Source organism: Homo sapiens, chromosome 4, assembly GCF_000001405.40.
Source record: "Homo sapiens chromosome 4, GRCh38.p14 Primary Assembly".
Classification (NCBI taxonomy): domain Eukaryota; kingdom Metazoa; phylum Chordata; class Mammalia; order Primates; family Hominidae; genus Homo; species Homo sapiens.
Window position 1 is genome coordinate 137,496,368 of NC_000004.12, and position 21,923 is coordinate 137,518,290.

The following is a 21,923-nucleotide window of genomic DNA, read 5'->3' on the forward strand; positions in this document are numbered from 1 at the left end:
CCGGGTTCATCTCACTAGGGAGTGCCAGACAGTGGGCGCAGGCCAGTGGGTGCGCGCACGGTGCACGAGCCGAAGCAGGGCGAGGCATTGCCTCACCTGGGAAGCGCAAGGGGTCAGGGAGTTCCCTTTCCGAGTCAAAGAAAGGGGTGACGGACGCACCTGGAAAATCGGGTCACTCCCACCCGAATATTACGCTTTTCAGACCGGCTTAAAAAACGGCGCACCACGAGACTATATCCCACACCTGGCTCGGAGGGTCCTACGCCCACGGAATCTCGCTGATTGCTAGCACAGCAGTCTGAGATCAAACTGCAAGGCAGCAGCGAGGCTGGGGGAGGGGCGCCCGCCATTGCCCAGGCTTGATTAGGTAAACAAAGCAGCCGGGAAGCTCGAACTGGGTGGAGCCCACCACAGCTCAAGGAGGCCTGCCTGCCTCTGTAGGCTCCACCTCTGGGGGCAGGGCACAGACAAACAAAAAGACAGCAGTAACCTCTGCAGATTTAAATGTCCTTGTCTGACAGCTTTGAAGGGAGCAGTGGTTCTCCCAGCACGCAGCTGGAGATCTGAGAACCGGCAGACTGCCTCTTCAAGTGGGTCCCTGACCCCTGACCCCTGAGCAGCCTAACTGGGAGGCACCCCCCAGCAGGGGCACACTGACACCTCACACGGCAGGGTATTCCAACAGACCTGCAGCTGAGGGTCCTGTCTGTTAGAAGGAAAACTAACAAACAGAAAGGACATCCACACCAAAAACCCATCCGTACATCACCATCATCAAAGACCAAAAGTAGATAAAACCACAAAGATGGGGAAAAAACAGAACAGAAAAACTGGAAGCTCTAAAAATCAGAGCGCCTCTCCTCCTCCAAAGGAACGCAGCTCCTCACCAGCAACAGAACAAAGCTGGATGGAGAATGACTTTGACGAGCTGAGAGAAGAAGGCTTCAGACGATCAAATTACTCTGAGCTATGGGAGGACATTCAAACCAAAGGCAAAGAAGTTGAAAACTTTGAAAAAAATTTAGAAGAATGTATAACTAGAATAACCAATACAGAGAAGTGCTTAAAGGAGCTGATGGAGCTGAAAACCAAGGCTCGAGAACTACGTGAAGAATGCAGAAGCCTCAGGAGCCGATGTGATCAACTGAAAGAAAGGGTATCAGCAATGGAAGATGAAATGAATGAAATGAAGCGAGAAGGGAAGTTTAGAGAAAAAAGAATAAAAAGAAATGAGCAAAGCCTCCAAGAAATATGGGACTATGTGAAAAGACCAAATCTACGTCTGATTGGTGTACCTGAAAGTGATGGGGAGAATGGAACCAAGTTGGAAAACACTGCAGGATATTATCCAGGAGAACTTCCCCAATCTAGCAAGGCAGGCCAACGTTCAGATTCAGGAAATACAGAGAACGCCACAAAGATACTCCTCGAGAAGAGCAACTCCAAGACACATAATTGTCAGATTCACCAAAGTTGAAATGAAGGAAAAAATGTTAAGGGCAGCCAGAGAGAAAGGTCGGGTTACCCTCAAAGGGAAGCCCATCAGACTAACAGCGGATCTCTCAGCAGAAACCCTACAAGCCAGAAGAGAGTGGGGGCCAATATTCAGCATTCTTAAAGAAAAGAATTTTCAACCCAGAATTTCATATCCAGCCAAGCTAAGCTTCATAAGTGAAGGAGAAATAAAATACTTTACAGACAAGCAAATGCTGAGAGATTTTGTCACCACCAGACCTCCCCTAAAAGAGCTCCTGAAGGAAGCGCTAAACATGGAAAGGAACAACCAGTACCAGCAGCTGCAAAATCATGCCAAAATGTAAAGACCATCGAGACTAGGAAGAAACTGCATCAACTAACGAGCAAAATCACCAGCTAACATCATAATGACAGGATCAAATTCACACATAACAATATTAACTTTAAATGTAAATGGACTAAATTCTCCAATTAAAAGACACAGACTGGCAAATTGGATAAAGAGTCAAGACCCATCAGTGTGCTGTATTCAGGAAACCCATCTCACGTGCAGAGACACACATAGGCTCAAAATAAAAGTATGGAGGAAGATCTACCAAGCAAATGGAAAACAAAAAAAGGCAGGGATTGCAATCCTAGTCTCTGATAAAACAGACTTTAAACCAACAAAGATCAAAAGAGACAATGAAGGCCATTACGTAATGGTAAAGGGATCAATTCAACAAGAAGAGCTAAGTATCCTAAATATCTATGCACCCAATACAGGAGCACCCAGATTCATAAAGCAAGTCCTGAGTGACCTACAAAGAGACTTAGACTACCATATAATAATAATGGGAGACTTTAACACCCCACTGTCAACATTAGACAGATCAACGAGACAGAAAGTTAACAAGGATACCCAGGAATTGAACTCAGCTCTGCACCAAGCGGACCTAATAGACATCTACAGAACTCTCCACCCCAAATCAACAGAATATACATTTTTTTCAGCACCACACCACACCTATTCCAAAATTGACCACATACTTGGAAGTAAAGCTCTCCTCAGCAAATGTAAAAGAACAGAAATTATAACAAACTATCTCTCAGACCACAGTGCAATCAAACTAGAACTCAGGATTAAGAATCTCACTCAAAGCCGCTCAACTACATGGAAGCTGAACAACCTGCTCCTGAATGACTACTGGGTACATAACGAAATGAAGGCAGAAATAAAGATGTTCTTTGAAACCAACGAGAACAAAGACACAACATACCAGAATCTCTGGGACGCATTCAAAGCAGTGTGTAGAGGGAAATTTATAGCACTAAATGCCCACAAGAGAAAGCAGGAAAGATCCAAAATTGACACCCTAACATCACAATTAAAAGAACTAGAAAAGCAAGAGCAAACACATTCAAAAGCTAGCAGAAGGCAAGAAATAACTAAAATCAGAGCAGAACTGAAGGAAATAGAGACACAAAAAACCCTTCAAAAAATCAATGAATCCAGGAGCTGGTTTTTTGAAAGGATCAACAAAATTGATAGACCGCTAGCAAGACTAACAAAGAAAAAAATAGACACAGAAAAAGAAGAATCAAATAGACACAATAAAAAATGATAAAGGGGATATCACCACCGATCCCACAGAAATACAAACTACCATCAGAGAATACTACAAACACCTCTACACAAATAAATTAGAAAATCTAGAAGAAATTGATAAATTCCTCGACACATATACTCTCCCAAGACTAAACCAGGAAGAAGTTGAATCTCTGAATAGACCAATAACAGGAGCTGAAATTGTGGCAATAATCAATAGCTTACCAACCAAAAAGAGTCCAGGACCAGATGGATTCACAGCCGAATTCTACCAGAGGTACAAGGAGGAACTGGTACCATTCCTTCTGAAACTATTCCAATCAATAGAAAAAGAGGGAATCCTCCCTAACTCATTTTATGAGGCCAGCATCATTCTGATACCAAAGCCGGGAAGAGACACAACAAAAAAAGAGAATTTTAGACCAATATCCTTGATGAACATTGATGCAAAAATCCTCAATAAAATACTGGCAAACCGAATCCAGCAGCACGTCAAAAAGCTTATCCACCATGATCAAGTGGGCTTCATCCCTGGGATGCAAGGCTGGTTCAATATACGCAAATCAATAAATGTAATCCAGCATATAAACAGAGACAAAGACAAAAACCACATGATTATCTCAATAGATGCAGAAAAAGCCTTTGACAAAATTCAACAACCCTTCATGCTAAAAACTCTCAATAAATTAGGTATTGATGGGATGTATTTCAAAATAATAAGAGCTATCTATGACAAACCCACAGCCAATATCATACTGAATGGGCAAAAACTGGAAGCATTCCCTTTGAAAACTGGCACAAGACAGGGATGCCCTCTCTCACCACTCCTATTCAACATAGTGTTGGAAGTTCTGGCCAGGAGAAGGAAATAAAGGGTATTCAATTAGGAAAAGAGGAAGTCAAATTGTCCCTGTTTGCAGACGACATGATTGTATATCTAGAAAACCCCATTGTCTCAGCCCAAAATCTCCTTAAGCTGATAAGCAACTTCAGCAAAGTCTCAGGATATAAAATCAATGTACAAAAATCACAAGCATTCTTATACACCAACAACAGACAAACAGAGAGCCAAATCATGAGTGAACTCCCATTCACAATTGCTTCAAAGAGAATAAAATACCTAGGAATCCAACTTACAAGGGATGTGAAGGACCTCTTCAAGGAGAACTACAAACCACTGCTCAAGGAAATAAAAGAGGATACAAACAAATGGAAGAACATTCCATGCTCATGGGTAGGAAGAATCAATATTGTGAAAATGGCCATACTGCCCAAGGTAATTTACAGATTCAATGCCATCCCCATCAGGCTACCAATGACTTTCTTCACAGAATTGAAAAAACTACTTTAAAGTTCATATGGAACCAAAAAAGAGCCTGCATCGCCAAGTCAATCCTAAGCCAAAAGAACAAAGCTGGAGGCATCACAATACCTGACTTCAAACTATACTACAAGGCTACAGTAACCAAAACAGCATGGTACTGGTACCAAAACAGAGATATAGACCAATGGAACACAACAGAGCCCTCAGAAATAACGCTGCATACCTACAACTGTCTGATCTTTGACAAACCTGAGAAAAACAAGAAATGGGGAAAGGACTCCCTATTTAATAAATGGTGCTGGGAAAACTGGCTAGCCATATGTAGAAAGCTGAAACTGGATCCCTTCCTTACACCTTATACAAAAATCAATTCAAGATGGATTAAAGATTTAAACGTTAGACCTAAAACCATAAAAACCCTAGAAGAAAACCTAGGCATTACCATTCAGGACATAGGCATGGGCAAGGACTTCATGTCCAAAACACCAAAAGCCATGGCAACAAAAGACAAAATTGACAAATGGGATCTAATTAAACTAAAGAGCTTCTGCACAGCAAAAGAAACTACCATCAGAGTGAACAGGCAACCTACAAAATGGGAGAAAATTTTCACAACCTACTCATCTGACAAGGGCTAATATCCAGAATCTACAATGAACTCCAACAAATTTACAAGAAAAAAACAAACAACCCCATCAAAAAGTGGGTGAAGGACATGAACAGCCACTTCTCAAAAGAAGACATTTCTGCAGCCAAAAGACACATGAAAAAATGCTCATCATCACTGGCCATCAGAGAAATGCATATCAAAACCACTATGAGATACCATTTCACGCCAGTTAGAATAGCAATCATTAAAAAGTCAGGAAACAACAGGTGCTGGAGAGGATGTGGAGAAATAGGAACACTTTTACACTGTTGGTGGGACTGTAAACTAGTTCAACCATTGTGGAAGTCAGTGTGGGATTCCTCAGGGATCTAGAACTAGAAATACCATTTGACCCAGCCATCCCATTACTGGGTATATACCCAAATGACTATAAATCATGCTGCTATAAAGACACATGCACACGTATGTTTATTGCGGCATTATTCACAATAGCAAAGACTTGGAACCAACCCAAATGTCCAACAATGATAGACTGGATTAAGAAAATGTGGCACATATACACCATGGAATACTATGCAGCCATAAAAAATGATGAGTTCATGTCCTTTGTAGGGACATGGATGAAATTGGAAATCATCATTCTCAGTAAACTATCGCAAGAACAAAAAACCAAACACCGCATATTCTCACTCATAGGTGGGAATTGAACAGTGAGATCACATGGACACAGGAAGGGGAATATCACACTCTGGGGACTGTGGTGGGGTGGGGGGAGGGGGGAGGGATAGCCTTGGGAGATATACCTAATGCTAGATGACGAGTTAGTGGGTGCAGCGCACCAGCATGGCACATGTATACATATGTAACTAACCTGCACAATGTGCACATGTACCCTAAAACTTAAAGTATAATAAAAAAAAAAAGAAATATTCTGATTTAACTTCAAAAATACGTATCTCTAATTTTTCATGCTATTTTATTTTATAACTCTAGATAATACTCTTTAATGTATTCTATTGAATGGAGTTACCTTATAGGTAAGAGTGTTTTATTATGAAGTTTTATTAGTTTCTCATAAATAGTAGTTAGTGGTTTAAGTTTGTCCAAGAAATATGCTTCTTATTCCAAATTCTGCCTGAAGCCAATAATACTAAGGCAAATTTCCAATATACTTTTTTTGTCTTTTCTAAAGGTTAATGGTCTAGTTTCTGAAATAACTATTTAGGAAATGTTAACTTTACGCTATTTCAAAATACTTTCCAAAAATCTGCCCTGAAATAACCTCTTGCCATTTTTATACATTATCTGAGAAAAAAAAATTTTTAAATGCTAAGATTCCCATGGTAGGTCTTGCAAATGACAAGAAAATACATTAAACATATATTACCAAACCAGCTAAAGGAAAGTTTGGTGCTTTTTTCTTTGTTTGTTTTGTTTTGCTACTTTGGCATACACGTGACTATTTTTTTTAAGTACAGAAAGCTAAAAATAACCATCAGTGTACAGAGTCAACATTTTTGCTTTGGTATTTATGCCGGAAGAAAATAAGATCACTCAGAAAACAGAAACTCTCGGATAGGTAATGTGGAGCCTATGATTTGACTGGTGAATATAGCAATGCAAAAGTGCAAAACTGAGAGAACTGGTGACCCAGGGCTGGGTAGACAACGAATTCGAGATTTGTGTTCTTTGAAAATTCAATTTAAAAAGATGAGTGGGTAGTGATCTTTTCACAATGTTTCAGAGATTCAGAATATTAAGACAAAATTTCACCTTGAGGAAAAGTTTAAATTTTTAAGACACGTTAGCTTTAAAATATGGGAGCAAAGAGACAAAGGTTTTAACAATAACAGCTAACTACCTTTTTCTCTACTGCAGACAATTCATCGTCTTCAGACATTTTCTGTCCCATTCCAACAGTTACATTTATTAGGCTCTACCCATCTTCTCAACACAAAAAATAGGAATATACATATTTTGTCATTTTTTCTCAAAATATTATTGCTTATGTAATGTGTAATGTTCTCAAAAAGAACAAGTAATACAAGACTGACAAGCAATATTTGTTAAGTCAGTGCTTTTCAAATTGTTCTAGTCCATGTCTCATTTGGAAAACAGCAAAAATTAAAAATAATAAAACCTATTCATCTCTTATAAAGTTCTGTGAAATTTCTAATTAGAATAACTATTTGGACTACAAATGAATAAAAGGAAATGAATGGCAGAATGTATCTTTTATAAGTGGGCGTGTAAACATGGCTAATAAGTATGAAAAAATGTCTTAAAAATTTGGTTATGGAGTGTAGGAGGGAGAGAAGGTCATAACTGAAGTAATGCAAGATAAAGAGAGGGTTATTTAAGAGGAAATAGACAAGATAGTGTATTAATAATGGATTTGACATATAGAGAATCTGAAAATACTATAGAAAAAAAAAAAATAAGGCAAAACACCCAGGAGGAAATGTTACAGAAAAGTGGTGGTGAGCTCTGTCTTCATTCTTGCTAAAAGGGAACAGAAATTACAGATGCAGTTGCAGATGAATTTGCATGCAAAAAGTTAATGTCACTTTCATTGATTATATTACTTCTATAAAGTTGAATTACATGTTAAAGAAAACGGAAACTGGAAATTTAAAAATAGTGATATAGACAGAAGTTTTCTTCTTTTTTGGATATCACCAAAAATTAACAAAAAGTTATAAAAAACAAAAATAAAAGTCAATTTTTGACTAATCATGGAGATATTTATAAACCCAAGCCATACAAGAAGAAAGAATTATAATTTTAGCCAAAGTAAAATGGTAAATAGAAAGACATTAAGTTCCTATAGTGGATTGCGTAGTGGACCCCAAAACAATATGTCTATCCAGGACCTCTAAATAGGATCTTATTTGGAAAAAATGGTCTTTGTATTAATTAAGTTGAAGATCCTGGTTTGGGGCTGAGTGTTTAATCCAAATGACAGTTATCCTTTTAAGAGAAGAAAAGGGGAAAAGGCCATGTGTGGACACCCATGTAAAGATGAAAGCTGAGATTGAAGTTATGATGCCACAGGCCAGGAGCCACCAGATGCTTGAAGAGCCAAGGTAGAATTCTCCCTAAGAGCTTTCAAAGGAAGGATGACCCTGACAATACCTTTACGTCAAACTTCTGGCCTGCAAAACTGATTTCTGTTGATTTTAGCTACTAGTTTGTAGTAATTTGTTATAATCCTCTAGAAAACTAATACAAATCTATTTGACTTTAACATTTGAGAAAATTATTCAGATCACATTCTTCAAAGGCCCGCTCTGTGAACAATTCAACAATCAGACAATAATTTAGAAATCTGTGTGGACAGTAAGACCTTAGAGGAACAGCTTTGGAATAAAGCCTCAAGACTCGTAAAATACAGGAATGAAAAAAGAGTCACAAACACAAGTCATATTTGCAGGAAACATTCTCAAACTTTGTGAAGTGAGCACCTTAATAAAAACAGAAAATGCAAAGTATAGTTAAAAAATCTCAGGGGAGTCATGGTGAGAATTCAAGAACAGTGAAATATGACAGGTGTATTAGTCTGCTTTCATACTGCTATAAAGAACTGCTCAACACTGGGTAATTTATAAAGAAAAGAGATTTAATTGACTCACAGATCTGCATAGCTTGGGAGGCCTCAGGAAACTTACAATCATGGTGTAAGGCAAAGGGGAAGCAAGGTACCTTCTTCACAAGGCAGCAGGAAGGAGAAGTGCTGAGCGAAGCAGGGAAGAGTCCCTTATAAAACCATCAGATCTCATGAGAGCTCACTCACTATCATGAGAACAGCATGGGGGGAAACTGCCCCCATGATGGAATGACCTCCACCTGGTCTCTCCTTTGAAACATGTGGATTATGGGGATACAATTCAAAATGAGGTTTGGCTGGGGACACAAAGCCTAACCATATCAACAGGCAAAGCACAGGAAGAAAACCCATAAAAATACAAACATACATCCAAACATGCAGAAAACCATCAGGGAAATGAACTCTCATTGGATTTAGCAACTAAAGAATTAAACACTGCTGAAGACACAGAATCTGACATGGATGATAGGATTTAGAAGTAAAGGTGATAAATGATAAAGTATAGGTGAAAAGAGGTCAAAAAGAGAACGATGAATGATGGGAAAGGCAAATGATACGTTTCACAAAATTGGGGTTCCAAAAGAATATAAATTGATTACTAGAAAAGAAAACAATAAAACTGTCTTAGGATATAATAAAGTTAAACTTTCCAAAATAAAATAATACAATATATATAAAACTTTCTCCAAAAAATGAAACTTTCCAAAAATATATATAATGTATTGATTAAGAAAAGACACCTATCCAGGAAACCCTGACACAGTACAATCAATATATAAATGCTGAACTATATTAGGATTCTTAAGAGACACAGGACCAATAGGAGACAAACATGTATATATACAAATACAGGCAGAGATTTTTTAAATGAAGAATTGGTTTATACGATTATGGAGACAAAGAAGTCTCATGATCTGCTATCTGTAACCTGAAGACTCAAGAAAGCCAGTGGTATAATTTCAGTCCAAGTCTCAAACACCTGAGAACCACAGGAGTTGATTTCCCAGTCCAGGGCAGGAGAAGACCAGTATCCCAACTCAAGCAAGCAAGCAGGAAACAAAAAGGGTAAATTTGTCTTTCCTCTACTTTTTGTTTTACTCAGATCCTAAAAATATTGAGTGATGCCCATAACATTGGGGAGGGCAATCTGCTGTACTGAGTCCATGGAATCAAATGCTTATTTCATCCAGTAACACCTATACAAGCACACCAAGAAATAATGTTTTATTTAGGCACTCCATGACAGAGTCAAGTTGACACATAAAATTAACAATTGCACTGAAATACATTCTGGTAGACTTTACTGTGCCGTGAATGAATTACAAGGAAATAATCTTTAAGGGATGAAGGCAAAAAAGAATCAAATTATCTGTAGAGGAAATAAAGTTATTCCAGGCTCACAGTTTGTCATAGCATCATTTAACACTGAAATAGGAAAAGACGGAGAATTGGAAAATAAAAGTAAAAATATTGAATTATATTTAATGCCATTGTTTATATAGACATTGCCTAAAGAAAGAGAATTGAATTCGTTATATAGTTAGAATTATAAATGTGTAAATGAAACATTTTATAATATAAGAAAAATAAAACTAAATTATATCAAAAATCATAAAAAGAAATCGTAAATAGGGTAACCTAAACAGAGAGTTTGACCAACTAGTATACATCAAAACATATATCATACCATTAAATGTAAATAGACTATACTTGTTTATTCAAAAAATAAAATTATCAGGTTGGACAACAGAACAAAACATGAGAACATTATTACCACAAAGATATTTATATTGGCTAAAATTAATAAATAGGCAAAGGCATACCAGACACTTATCGATGCACCAAAAACATAGCATAACATTAACAGAGCAAAATCCACAAGGAAAAAACAAAGAGAAATAGATAGAAACACAATAGTATTAGCCAATTTTAAGAGCTATTCACTCCTCAATGTATAACAGAAACGAAAGACCAAAAATTAGCATAAAACACTAAATAATATAATTTTAAATATAATATGAACATTATTACATATTTTTTACTAAATGTTCGTGTGTATGTGTGTATGTATATATGTGTGTGTGTATATTTATATACACACACACAAATATGGGGGCATATTTCTAAAAGCTAAGAGAACAAATTATTTTCAAATTCCTAAATAATATTAACAAATTGACCACATACTGGGCCTCAAAAAACAGCTTAATAAATTCCAAAGAGTTAATATAATCCCAATACCATAAAACAGAAATTAATAACAAGAAAGAGTAATAATCTTTCCACATTAAGAGAGAAATTTTACATTCTCTTTTGGAGAAAAGAGGAAGTCAAACCAAAATTAGAAATGATTTAGAAAATTACGCCAATTGAAACATACATTTCTGAAAGTATAACAGCTTAAACAAAGCACAGACAAAACATAATATATAATATCAAAACACTATGCATCCAATTTTAAATGTTTGAAAAAGAACAAATGTAATTAAAGAAGTAGAAATAAACATAAAAACAAAAATTAATTAAGCATAAATTGTTAAATGTTAGAATCAATAAATAAATCCTATTGCTCTTTCATTTTCTTTTGGGACCCCAATTTTGCAAAATGTTATATCATTTGCCTTTCCTATCATTCACTGTGCTTATTTTATTCATGAGTAACATGAATAAAGAGGACAAACAATAATATAACCTTTTCAATGCCAATAAAGTAATAACTATAGACATTGGTAGAATTGGGAAAATTGATAGAATTCTTAAAAAAAAAAGTGTCCAAATCTTTGCATTCCTGAGAATAGGTATAAAATTGCATTTCTGTCTTTATTTTTTTGGAAAATACAAACTACCAAACTGACTCCAGAAAGTGGGTTTGGAATACTACACAGATCATTTACCATTCAGGAGATAAAGTCTAACAGCTATTGCCCAGATGGTTTCGCAAGGGAATTCTTCCAAAACATCAAGTGACAGATAACTGCAATTAAATTTCAATTGTTCAGAGTATAGAAAAAAGGAAAAATTTTCGTAATTCTTTTAGAATATGTATATCATATGATCCCCAAATCCCATTAAAGGTAAATGCACACACATGCACATACGCACACACAAAACAAGCATGGAACCCCTTGTTCAAGCACATTAAGATAAAAACATCTTTAACTAGGTAAAAATTAGCTGTTTATTTAATAAATAGCAAAGCAATTGGAGTTTATTCCTGGAAAAATGTTAGTGTGGTTAAATATTAGGATAGCTATAAAAATAAATCAATATATTTAGCAAGTCAAATGAGATTGTCATATAAATCTCACTAGATGTAAGAAAATTTAATAATATTCAACATCTATTCTTGATTTTAAAATCATAATAAAATAAAATAGTTTTGACATGACTATATTTATATACATGAAAAATAGCATGTATATGCTAATTGAGAAATCATTAGAACATTCTCTTTAACATCAATAATAATGGAACAAAATGTGCTATTAATATTATTAATATAAATTATTCTAGATTAACCAATGAAATTGTGGAATAGATTGAGGAATAAATTTAGAAACAAAAATTAGAAAGGAGAATTTTAAATGACTAACTTTTGAAAATAATATATTTTTCTCCTTAGCAAATCCAGAAGGATCAGTTTTATTTATTTATTTATTTTTTTTTTAAGACAGAGCCTTGCTCTGTCACCCAGGCTGGAGTGCAGTGGCACAATCTCAGCTCACTGCAACCTCTGCCTCCCAGGGTCAAGCAATTCTCCTGCCTCAGCCTCCAGAGTAGCTGGGATTACAAGCGTGTGCCACTACGCCTGGCTAATTATTTTTAATAGAGATGGGGTTCCACCATGTTGGTCAGGCTGATCTCAAACTGCTGACCTCAAATGATCCACCCACCTCAGTCTCCCAAAGTGCTGGGATTACATGCATCAGCCCCAGCACCCGGCCTAGAAGGATCAATTTGAGGACCATTATAAATAATAAGAAAAATCAGTTACAGGACATAGTACTAAATTAATATATAGCAATAAAGGAGATTCTCATATGAACAATAACTAGGTACAAGACTAAAACATCAAAAGATAGGATACAAAACTTAACCAGAAACCTACAATCTTCTGTGACAAAACTGTAGATGCCACTGAGGAACACAAAAGAAGGATTTAACACAAGGAAAATACACTCTTGCAATAGTAAATGCAACACCATAAGAATCTCAGTTCTTCCTCAAATTAATCTATAAATTTAATGTAATCCCAGTTTAAAATACCAACAGTATGTTTTTTGGAAAAGTAGACAAACTGATTCCAAAAGTTATAATAAGAATAAAATAGCCAGAAATGTCCTAAAAATAGATATACAAGAGAAAGGGAGAGAATTATGTTTCTCTAATTGTTTTATTTTTAAACTTCAAATAATTAAACCAGCCTGACACTGAATAGAAAGGCAAATTATTTACCGTTAAGCACTACAGCATTTATCTTTTACTTTAATATTAGTTGCTTTATTTTTTAAAATCTGAAACTGTTACCAGAAAGGGGTCCAGAGCCAGATCCTCAAGAGAGGGTTCTTGGATATTGTGCAGGAAAGAATTCGAGGTGAGTCCACAGAACAAAGTGAAAACAAGTTTATTAAGAAAGTAAAAGAATAAAGAATGGCTACTCCATAGACCCACTTTTACTGCTATTTCTTGATTATGTGCTAAATAAGGGGTGGATTATTCATGCCTCCCCTTTTAAGAACATATAGGGTAACTTCCTGACATTGCCATGGTATTTGTTTTTTTGTCGTCATTGTTGGGTTTTTTTGTTTTTGAGACAGAGTCTTGCTCTGTCACCCAGACTGGAGTGCAGTGGTGCAATCTCGGGCCACTGCAACCTCCACCTCCCAGGTTCAAGTCATACTCCTGCTTCAGCCTCCCAAGTAGCTGAGACTACAGGTGTGCACCACCATGTCGGGCTAATTTTTGTATTTTTAGCAGAGACGGGGTTTCACCATGTTGGTCAGCCTTTTCTTGAACTCCTGACCTCAAGTGATCCACCTGCCTTGGCCTTCCAAAGTGCTGGGATTAGAGGTGTGAGCAACCATGCTGGGCCAGCATTTGTAAACTGTCACGGCACTGGTGAGAATGTAGCAGTGAGGGAGACCAGAAGTCACTCTTGCCGTTATCTTGGTTTTGGTGGCTTTTGGCCAGCTTCTTTATTGCAGCCTGTTTTTTCATCAAGGTTTTTATGACCTGTATCTAGACACTTAGAATGCCTTAACCTCCTGGGAATGCAGCTCAACCTTATTTTGCCAAGCCCCTATTCAAGGAGTTGCTCTGGTTTAAATACCTCTGACAAAACCACCCAATTGCTTAACATGATATAATTCATGTTTTAATAAAATTTTAGTAAAAAAAAATCAAATAGTAAGCATAGTTGAGAAATGCATAGAAAAAAATTTTAAAAATTGAAAGAACAATTTATCAACAGTAGCTTTTTGCTAAATGAGAAACAAATAAATGAGAAAAGTGCGAAGAGTCAAGATGTGATTAAATCATTTTCTTTCTCCCAGAAGAGGGTAATATTCAGGATATGATATTCTGAAGAGTGATTACCTTTTGAAGGCATGTTAGCAGAAAAAACAAAATTGAAAGACTCTCAGAATAAAAAATTTCTTTCAGAAAAATTGCATATTGTTGAATAAAATGAATTAATCTGAGTCACAGTTTAAACCACCTTCAAAACTATGAGCAATTAGTGAGTAGTTTTGAGTATGGATATTTTCATTGAAATTCAGCGGGTTACATATCAAATGGAGACTTTTCATGTTAAGTGAGCAAAAGGCATGCCTTCTCTTTGAACGAAATTATAGAGTTGACAGATTCCTACTGTAGAAGGCTAGGTATTCCCAAATCATTCACATTATATGGTCCTTAATCTGGGACACAAATTTTATATACAGCATGTCTTTGCTTTTGTAAGATTGGATGCATTGTAATAAAGGTTGAGAGATATGGAGGGGAAGATTGTGCTCTTTTTGTTTTGTTTTGCTTTTGCTTCTTTTTCATTTATATAGCTATGAGTCATAGGCTTTCATTAATGACTCATTGAAATGGAGAACAAGGTTTCTGCAAACATTTCTGAGCTCTCCTCATTCCAGATACACTCCCTAACAGTCTCTAGGGAGGCTTGGAGCCTAACAAATGGCATAAAGTCTTCACTGACAGGCTGGGGGTTGCTGCACATTCTAATAGCTTTAGTAGCTGTTTCATTTTTAAAATTTTGGAGCAACAATCTTGTTGCTGTTCAAAAACTTCATATGATAGTTCTGGATAAGTCTCAGATTTCTCTTCCATTGTAACTGACAATTAAATACCCCAGGAATAGTTTTGGAAAACTCTATAAGAATTATCTCTGTTGTTGCCGGACGCAGTGGCTCAAGCCTGTAATCTCAGCACTTTGGTAGGCTGAGGTGGGTGGATCACTTGAGGCCAGGAGTTCGAGACCAGCCTGGCCAACATGGCAAAACTCTTGTCTCTATGCAAAACAAAAACAAAAACAAAAAACAATAAATTAGCTGGGTTTGGTTGTGCATGCCTGTAGTCCCAGCTACTTGGGAGGCTGAGGCAGGAGAATCACTTGAACCTGGGAGGTGGAGGTTGCAGTGAGCCAAGTTTAAGCTGCACTCCAGCCTGGGTGACAGAGCAAGACTCTGTCTCCAAAAAAAAAAACCCACAAAAACAAACAAACATAAATAATTCTCTCTGTTGCATACTTCACATGTATTTCTCCCTCTCTGTCTCAATCTGAACCCAAAATAGGGTTGTTTTGTGTACCTACTTTCCCATAATATTTGCTATCCTGACAATGGATGCAGATTTCTCCCTTCTGTGACAAGCACAATTTGCGTTTCTGTCAAAATAAAACAAAAATCGTAAGGTTTTTCCTAAATATAGGAAGGCTCCTTAACTGAAGTTTGGTCTTCAATGTTCATGATAGTTTCTTCAACACTGTTTCCCTTGTCACAACTCATGGTGCAGAAGTCACACTATTTAACTCTAAGTAGACACCCTCTCTCCTAAGAATCTTAATGTTGTAAGAGAAAGAAGACGGGGTTGCAGAACTGAGTTGCTGCCAATGCAACATCATAGAGAATATACTGTTGGAGACTTTCCCTGAAGTGACTTCTGTCTAAATTAGACACAAATAGATTTGGCTGGGCATGGTGGTTCATGCCTGTAATCCCAACTACTGGGGAAGCTGATGGCAGGAGGATCCTTTCAGGCCAGGAGTTTGATACCAGCCTAGGCAACTTAATGAGACCTCATCTCTAAAAATAAAACATAAATAAATAAAATTTTTAAAAATTCAAATAGATTTTGAATTCAGTGAGAAGTCCTCATATTTTTTCTCTATTTTTGTTAATTCATTATATTTTTTAAGTTGTGAATTATTTTTCAATTTTTTCAATAGAGGTATGATTTGTATAAAATAAAATTTACATAGAAAATGCACAGATGTTAAATGTACACTTTGATGAGCTTTGACAAATGTGATGTACCACCCCCAATCAAAACAGAGAGCACTTTTTTACCTTAAACGTTTCCCTCAATCTGCTTTGCAGGCTCCATACCCCCAACCCCCACCCCCACAATCAGGGAGTCACCTTTCCAATACCTATCAGAATTTGGGAACAAGAGGTCACATTTATTTTGAAAAGATGTTGATTCTGATAATTACTATATATACTAACACATCCTTATCATATTCCACTCCCTGTCCTCACCCTCCATTCCCAGCCAATAAAGTTTACTGTGAAGGATCTGTGTAGGATTCAAATGACATTATTTTTTTCCTTATATGTTTACTTACTCATGATTGAGTACCTTAGACAGGTCAAAACTCTACTAGTCTCTGTAGAAAAAAAAAAAAAAACAGAAAATAAAAATATACTCTTCCTTCTCTCTAGGTATTGAGATTCTAATATGCAACTTAGAGAAGTAAACTGAAAATTACTGTAGAAATTATATAAATAACTTGTAGTGACATTTTGAAGGTGCTAGAACTCCTAAAGATTGCATTATAGGAACAGCGTGGCTCACCAAAATACAGTGGCCAGCATAAGCCTCCCTATGTGGTCATGTGACTGTTTCTAGACAATGAGCTATCAGTAGAAGGAACATGTGACATTTTCAGGCTGGTCCCTAATGACCTCCTAGTTGTATTTCTCCATGATCATTTCCCTTGTGCCTGGTTGGAAATGAGATCCCTCCCAAATGATGGGTCATTGATGGCAGAATCTCTAAGGTACAGGTCCCCAAAAGATCTCATGAAGGAACGTCACTCTCTCAGAAATTGTACTTTCACTTAAGACTGGCTGTTATGTGTGCAGAAAGAAACTTCTGCTATGTATGAAAAATTATTCATATTGAGTTTACTTTTTGTAACTGTTAGCCTTTCCCAACTAATACCAACAGTGACTATAACTTCTACTTTTTATATAATTTTTTTCTTTTCATCCACTTACAAATGGATAGAAAAAAATGTAAATGGTGAAATCTCAGATGGAGAAAAAGCTTGTTGTTTAATTTCCTATAACTACACCTGAGCTGATGAGCCCTTTTGTCGAAAAATGACACAAGAAAACAAAATGTTCCTATTATAAATTCTCCCATGTCCTTATCCTTACTTAGATTTCATTTTTTGTTTCGCTTGATCAATACAACAGTTCTTTGAGGGGAATAGTGTTATTCGTATTATTTCAATTGCAGTACAAATGTGGAAATCAAAGTATACACTTGTTATGTGACATGATCAGTCACACTGCCATAAAGGGTGGAACTGAAACCTTAACTTAGAAATGTTTCTAGCACTTAATCTAGAAAAAATGCCCAGAGAAAAGGGCAAATATTCCAAGTATCTGAATTGCCCTTAGAAAACTGAAAAAGAAGTAGATACATATCCTTCTTTCTGGTTCTAGTTGTTCTTGATTTCCAATTCCTCCTGCTGGCAGGGAACACCGAATGCTGTCAATTAATGTTATTCTAGTTCTCCCTGCTTTAATACTTAAGAACATTTAGGTAATAACTCAGTTTTTAATGGTAGTAATGCCGTCATATTTTTAGTCTTTCTCCCTAGGTAGCATATGGGTTCAAGATGAAGCACACAGTCATTCACATATTCAACAGAGTTGTTAAGCATCTGTAATGGTCAAGGGATGCACTGGTAAGCAAAGCAGGGCCTCGGGTCATGTCTCTGTCCTTCTACTGCTCATTACACCTAATGGGAAGTGTCCACCTGTACTGGTATGATGGTGTGGACCTGGCCTGTCATGACAGTCATGGACTGGTACTGCAGGCTTTGCTCTTCCTCTCTTTTTTGTCTGTTTTGTTCATCAATGTATCACAGCACACCTAGAACAGTGTCTCAGGCATAGTAAGTGCACAATAATTACTTATTGAACAAAGGAATGATTACATACTGCCCTTCTACTAAGATGCCACCCAAGGAGAAAACGAGGACAAAGGCATGGGAGAAAAAGCAGTGAGTGGACTGAGTCAGTGGGGCAGCTGGTCCTCAGTAGCTGTCTCCCATAGAGACACTTTGCTCATTACCATCTCATGTATTTGCCACCCAAAACTCTCAACAAATACCAAAAGTTTGTAGAGGAAGCTCACAAAATCCACAATGACAGCCTCCGGGCATGAGTTTGCAGAAGAAATACAAATCACAAAGCAGGGACTGGCAAAACATTTTTCTGGTTAGAATTCATAAAACATTATTAGTTGCATATTTGGGATTTATTACATTGTATGTAACAAGATTTACTGGCAGTTTTGTAGATAATTTCGAACCTAAAGCACTGTCTAAAACAAAGGCCTACTTCCAAAGGAAAGGTCTATGCTTCTTATGTCTAGAATATTCTGTGGTTAGCTATTCTAAGCTGTAGAATGTACCTTTTAATAAAACAGGAATGTACATGGGGTTTTAGAAAGCCTGACTTCATTTAGATAAAAGCATTTTGAAATATAACAGGGCTTATAGTATCAACCCCTCCCCCATTTCAGCAAGGAATAAAGTCTGAGTTTCTCATAGGCCACACATCCATCCAAAGGCACTGAGGAGCAAGATGTTTCCCAGAGGCAAACACCTTGGCACCACTTCCTTCCATGTCTGCTCTCCTGTGCCATGAGGGTCAGGGAAACAGAAATTATCATTTTCAAAGTCTTGTTCTGTAATTTATTCTAGAGATCATTGGCAGTGGGAATAAAAAATATACTAACATCTGATTTTACCCTTCTCAATTTACTCACCCCTAGGGCTTTATACTCCCAACAATTAGCTAAGTTATCATTCTATTCTGTGGCAAGGGGCCTTTCTTATTCACTATGCTGTTTTCTTCCTGCATTTCACTTTGATTTACAGTAAAATTCCATCCTCACCATTCCAACCCTTAATACATAAAGATAAGTGTTTTACATTAAAAAAATGATTTCCTCCCTCAATAAGCCACGTTTTCTACACTAGTTTCTTTCTAGGCACTTGAAAACATTTAATTTAAAACTTAGACAAAAAAGAAATGACCCTTTGTTCTTGATTGCATGAATTTACCTTCTCATTAAACCAATGAATCATGGGAGCAAGGTTTATTGAGAACAAAATGTATTAGCTTTATATATCAAAATTATGATCCCTATCATATCAATAACAAAGAAAAGACATAAGAAAAAAATATAAAATCTAGGTGGTTATATGACGAACTCTATACATGTGAAAATTTGGAGAGGAGTGCTATAAAATGTGGACAGTAGCATGAATTATCAAGGAAGAATACCATTAAATAAATAAATTGAAGAGATAAAATCAGAGAAAGCAAACAAGAATTAGGAGCATCTTGCAGAAGTCATAAAAGGAAATAGAAATCTATTATTTTAAAGTGCCAGAGTAGGATGTGTTATTGCAATTTTAAAAGTCAGAAAGTGTGTAAATTTTGGTAGCAATTTTTGTGATGCTAGCTCCTCATAAAATGTGTTTAACAGTGCTACAAGTTGTATATGCTAGCATATAATAAAAATATAATAAATTAATAAGGAATATACACTACCACTTCTACATCTATTATATAGTGTCTACCTATTTAATTATTTTTTGGGGTTAGATTATATTAAAGGTCCCCATTTTTTCTGGTAGTAAGAGTGTATATACTTGACTATGACCTCAATTACACAGATAAAGAATGAAACCACAATTTAGGCAATACAATATTTTCAATTTCCGTGTAAATATCATTTAATTATCTCAGAAACAGTGACTAGGTTTATTCTAGGAACTTAACTGAACCAGATGATACTTCAGTGGCCCAAATAGCCTAATTTATCAAATTAAAACTTCATTTTATGTAGCATACAGTATTATTGCTATCATTCACAGAGAAATCCTAATATTATAAATGATTACAATCAGTATGGCATCTTACACTTTCACAACCTAAAACAGCTTATAAATGTAAAGGTGGCTTTACTTTGGGCATTCAACCTGCAATTAAGGAATTTAAATGTGCTGTTCTTTTGAAATGCCTGCACTATTTTTATTCTTCTTTAAACTGACATAAATCTTTAAGACTTTCATATGGTTGGATTTCTTTTCTTTTTTTTTTTTCTGAGATGGAGTCTCACTGTGTTGCTCAGGCTGGCGTGCAGTGGATCGATCTCAGCTCACTGCAACCTCTTCCTCTCGGGTTCAAGCAATTATTTCTGCCTCAGCCTACCGGGTAGCTGGGATTACAGGCGTGCACCACCATGCCCGGCTAATTTTTGTATTTTTAGTAGAGACTTGATTTTGCCATGTTGGCCAGGCTGGTCTTGAACTCCTGACCTCAAATGATCTGCCTGGCTTGGCCTCCCAAAGTGCTGGGATTACAGGCGTGAGCCACCGTGCCCAGCATCATTTGGTTGGATTTTAATTTTTTTTGAGATGGAGTCTTACTCTGTAGCCCAGGTTGGAGTGAAGTGGTGCAATCTCAGCTCACTGCAACCTCCACCCCCCAGGTTCAAGTGACTCTCCTACCTCAGCCTCCCAAGAAGCTGAGATTACAGGTGGGTGCCACCACGCCCAGCTAATTTTTGTATTTTTAGTGGAGATGGGGTTTCACCATGTTGGCCAGGCTGGTCTCGAACTCCCGACCTCAGACCTCAGGTGATCTGCCTGTGTTTTTTTTGTTTTTTTTTGTTTTGTTTTGTTTTGTTTTTTGAGAAAGAATCTTGCTCTGTCGCACAGGCTGGAGTGCAGTGGCTCGATCTCGGCTCACTGCAACCTCCGCCTCCCGGATTCAAGTGATTCTCCTGCTTCAGCCTCCCAGGTAGCTGGGACTACAGGTGTGCACCATCTCACCCAGCTAATTTATTGTATTTTTTTTCATAGAGATGGGGTATTGCCATATTGGCCATGCTGGTCTCTAACTCCTGGCCTCAAGTGATCCACCCACCTAGGCCTCCCAAAGTGCTGGGATTACAGGCCTGAGCCACCACACTCTGCAGATTTATTTTATTTTATTTTATTTTATTTTATTTTATTTTATTTTATTTTATTTTATTTTATTTTATTTTATTTTATTCTTGAGACAGAGTCTTGCTCTGTCACCCAGGCTGAAGTGTAGTGGTGCAATCTCGGCTCCCTGCAACCTCTGCCTCCTGGGTTCAAGTGATTCTTCTGCCTCAGTCCCCCGAGTAGCTGGGACTACAGGCGTGCACCACCATGCATGGCTAATTTTTGTACTTTTAGTAGAGATGGGGTTTCACCATATTTGCCAGGCTGGTCTCAAACTCCTGACTACCCGCCTCAGCCTCCCAAAGTGCTGGGATTACAGGTGTGAGCCACCACAACCAGCCCAGATTTTAATTTTTAAACAGCAACATGTGTTGCTTATTCAGAGTTCAGTATATCCTTAATTTTTGAAGTCACTGAAGAAGTTACATTTATGAAAATCAGCTTAGTTTTTTTGTTTCGTTCTTGTGATGATACATTATCCAGATATACTGAAATGGAACAGAAATGTCAAAACATGTAAGACAGTCTTGGGACAGTTCTATTAGTTTCTGCCATGTTGAAAGCTGCCCTGTCAGACAATGCATTTTTCACCCATACAAGTAATCCAGTAAAATATTGCTTATTTTTAAAATAGATCTACAATCTTTAAATTTTAAAGTGTCAATGTTTCAAATTGATCTTTGAATATTTTCTGATCACCAGTATCAAAAGAATGAAACAAGAAAACTAAGCTGAATTTCATAAATGCGACTTCTTCAGTGACTTCAATAAGACAATAACTTAATAACTCAC

General features: G+C 36.9%; 1 annotated feature.

The window, feature by feature from the left end:
* Nucleotides 179–732: an enhancer, noted in NCBI's record as "OCT4-NANOG-H3K27ac-H3K4me1 hESC enhancer chr4:138417700-138418253 (GRCh37/hg19 assembly coordinates)". NCBI's record gives its function as "activates a minimal SCP1, AML or CMV promoter by ChIP-STARR-seq in naive and primed H9 embryonic stem cells {active_cell/tissue: H9 hESC(naive and primed)}" and the evidence as "EXISTENCE:reporter gene assay evidence [ECO:0000049][PMID:30033119]".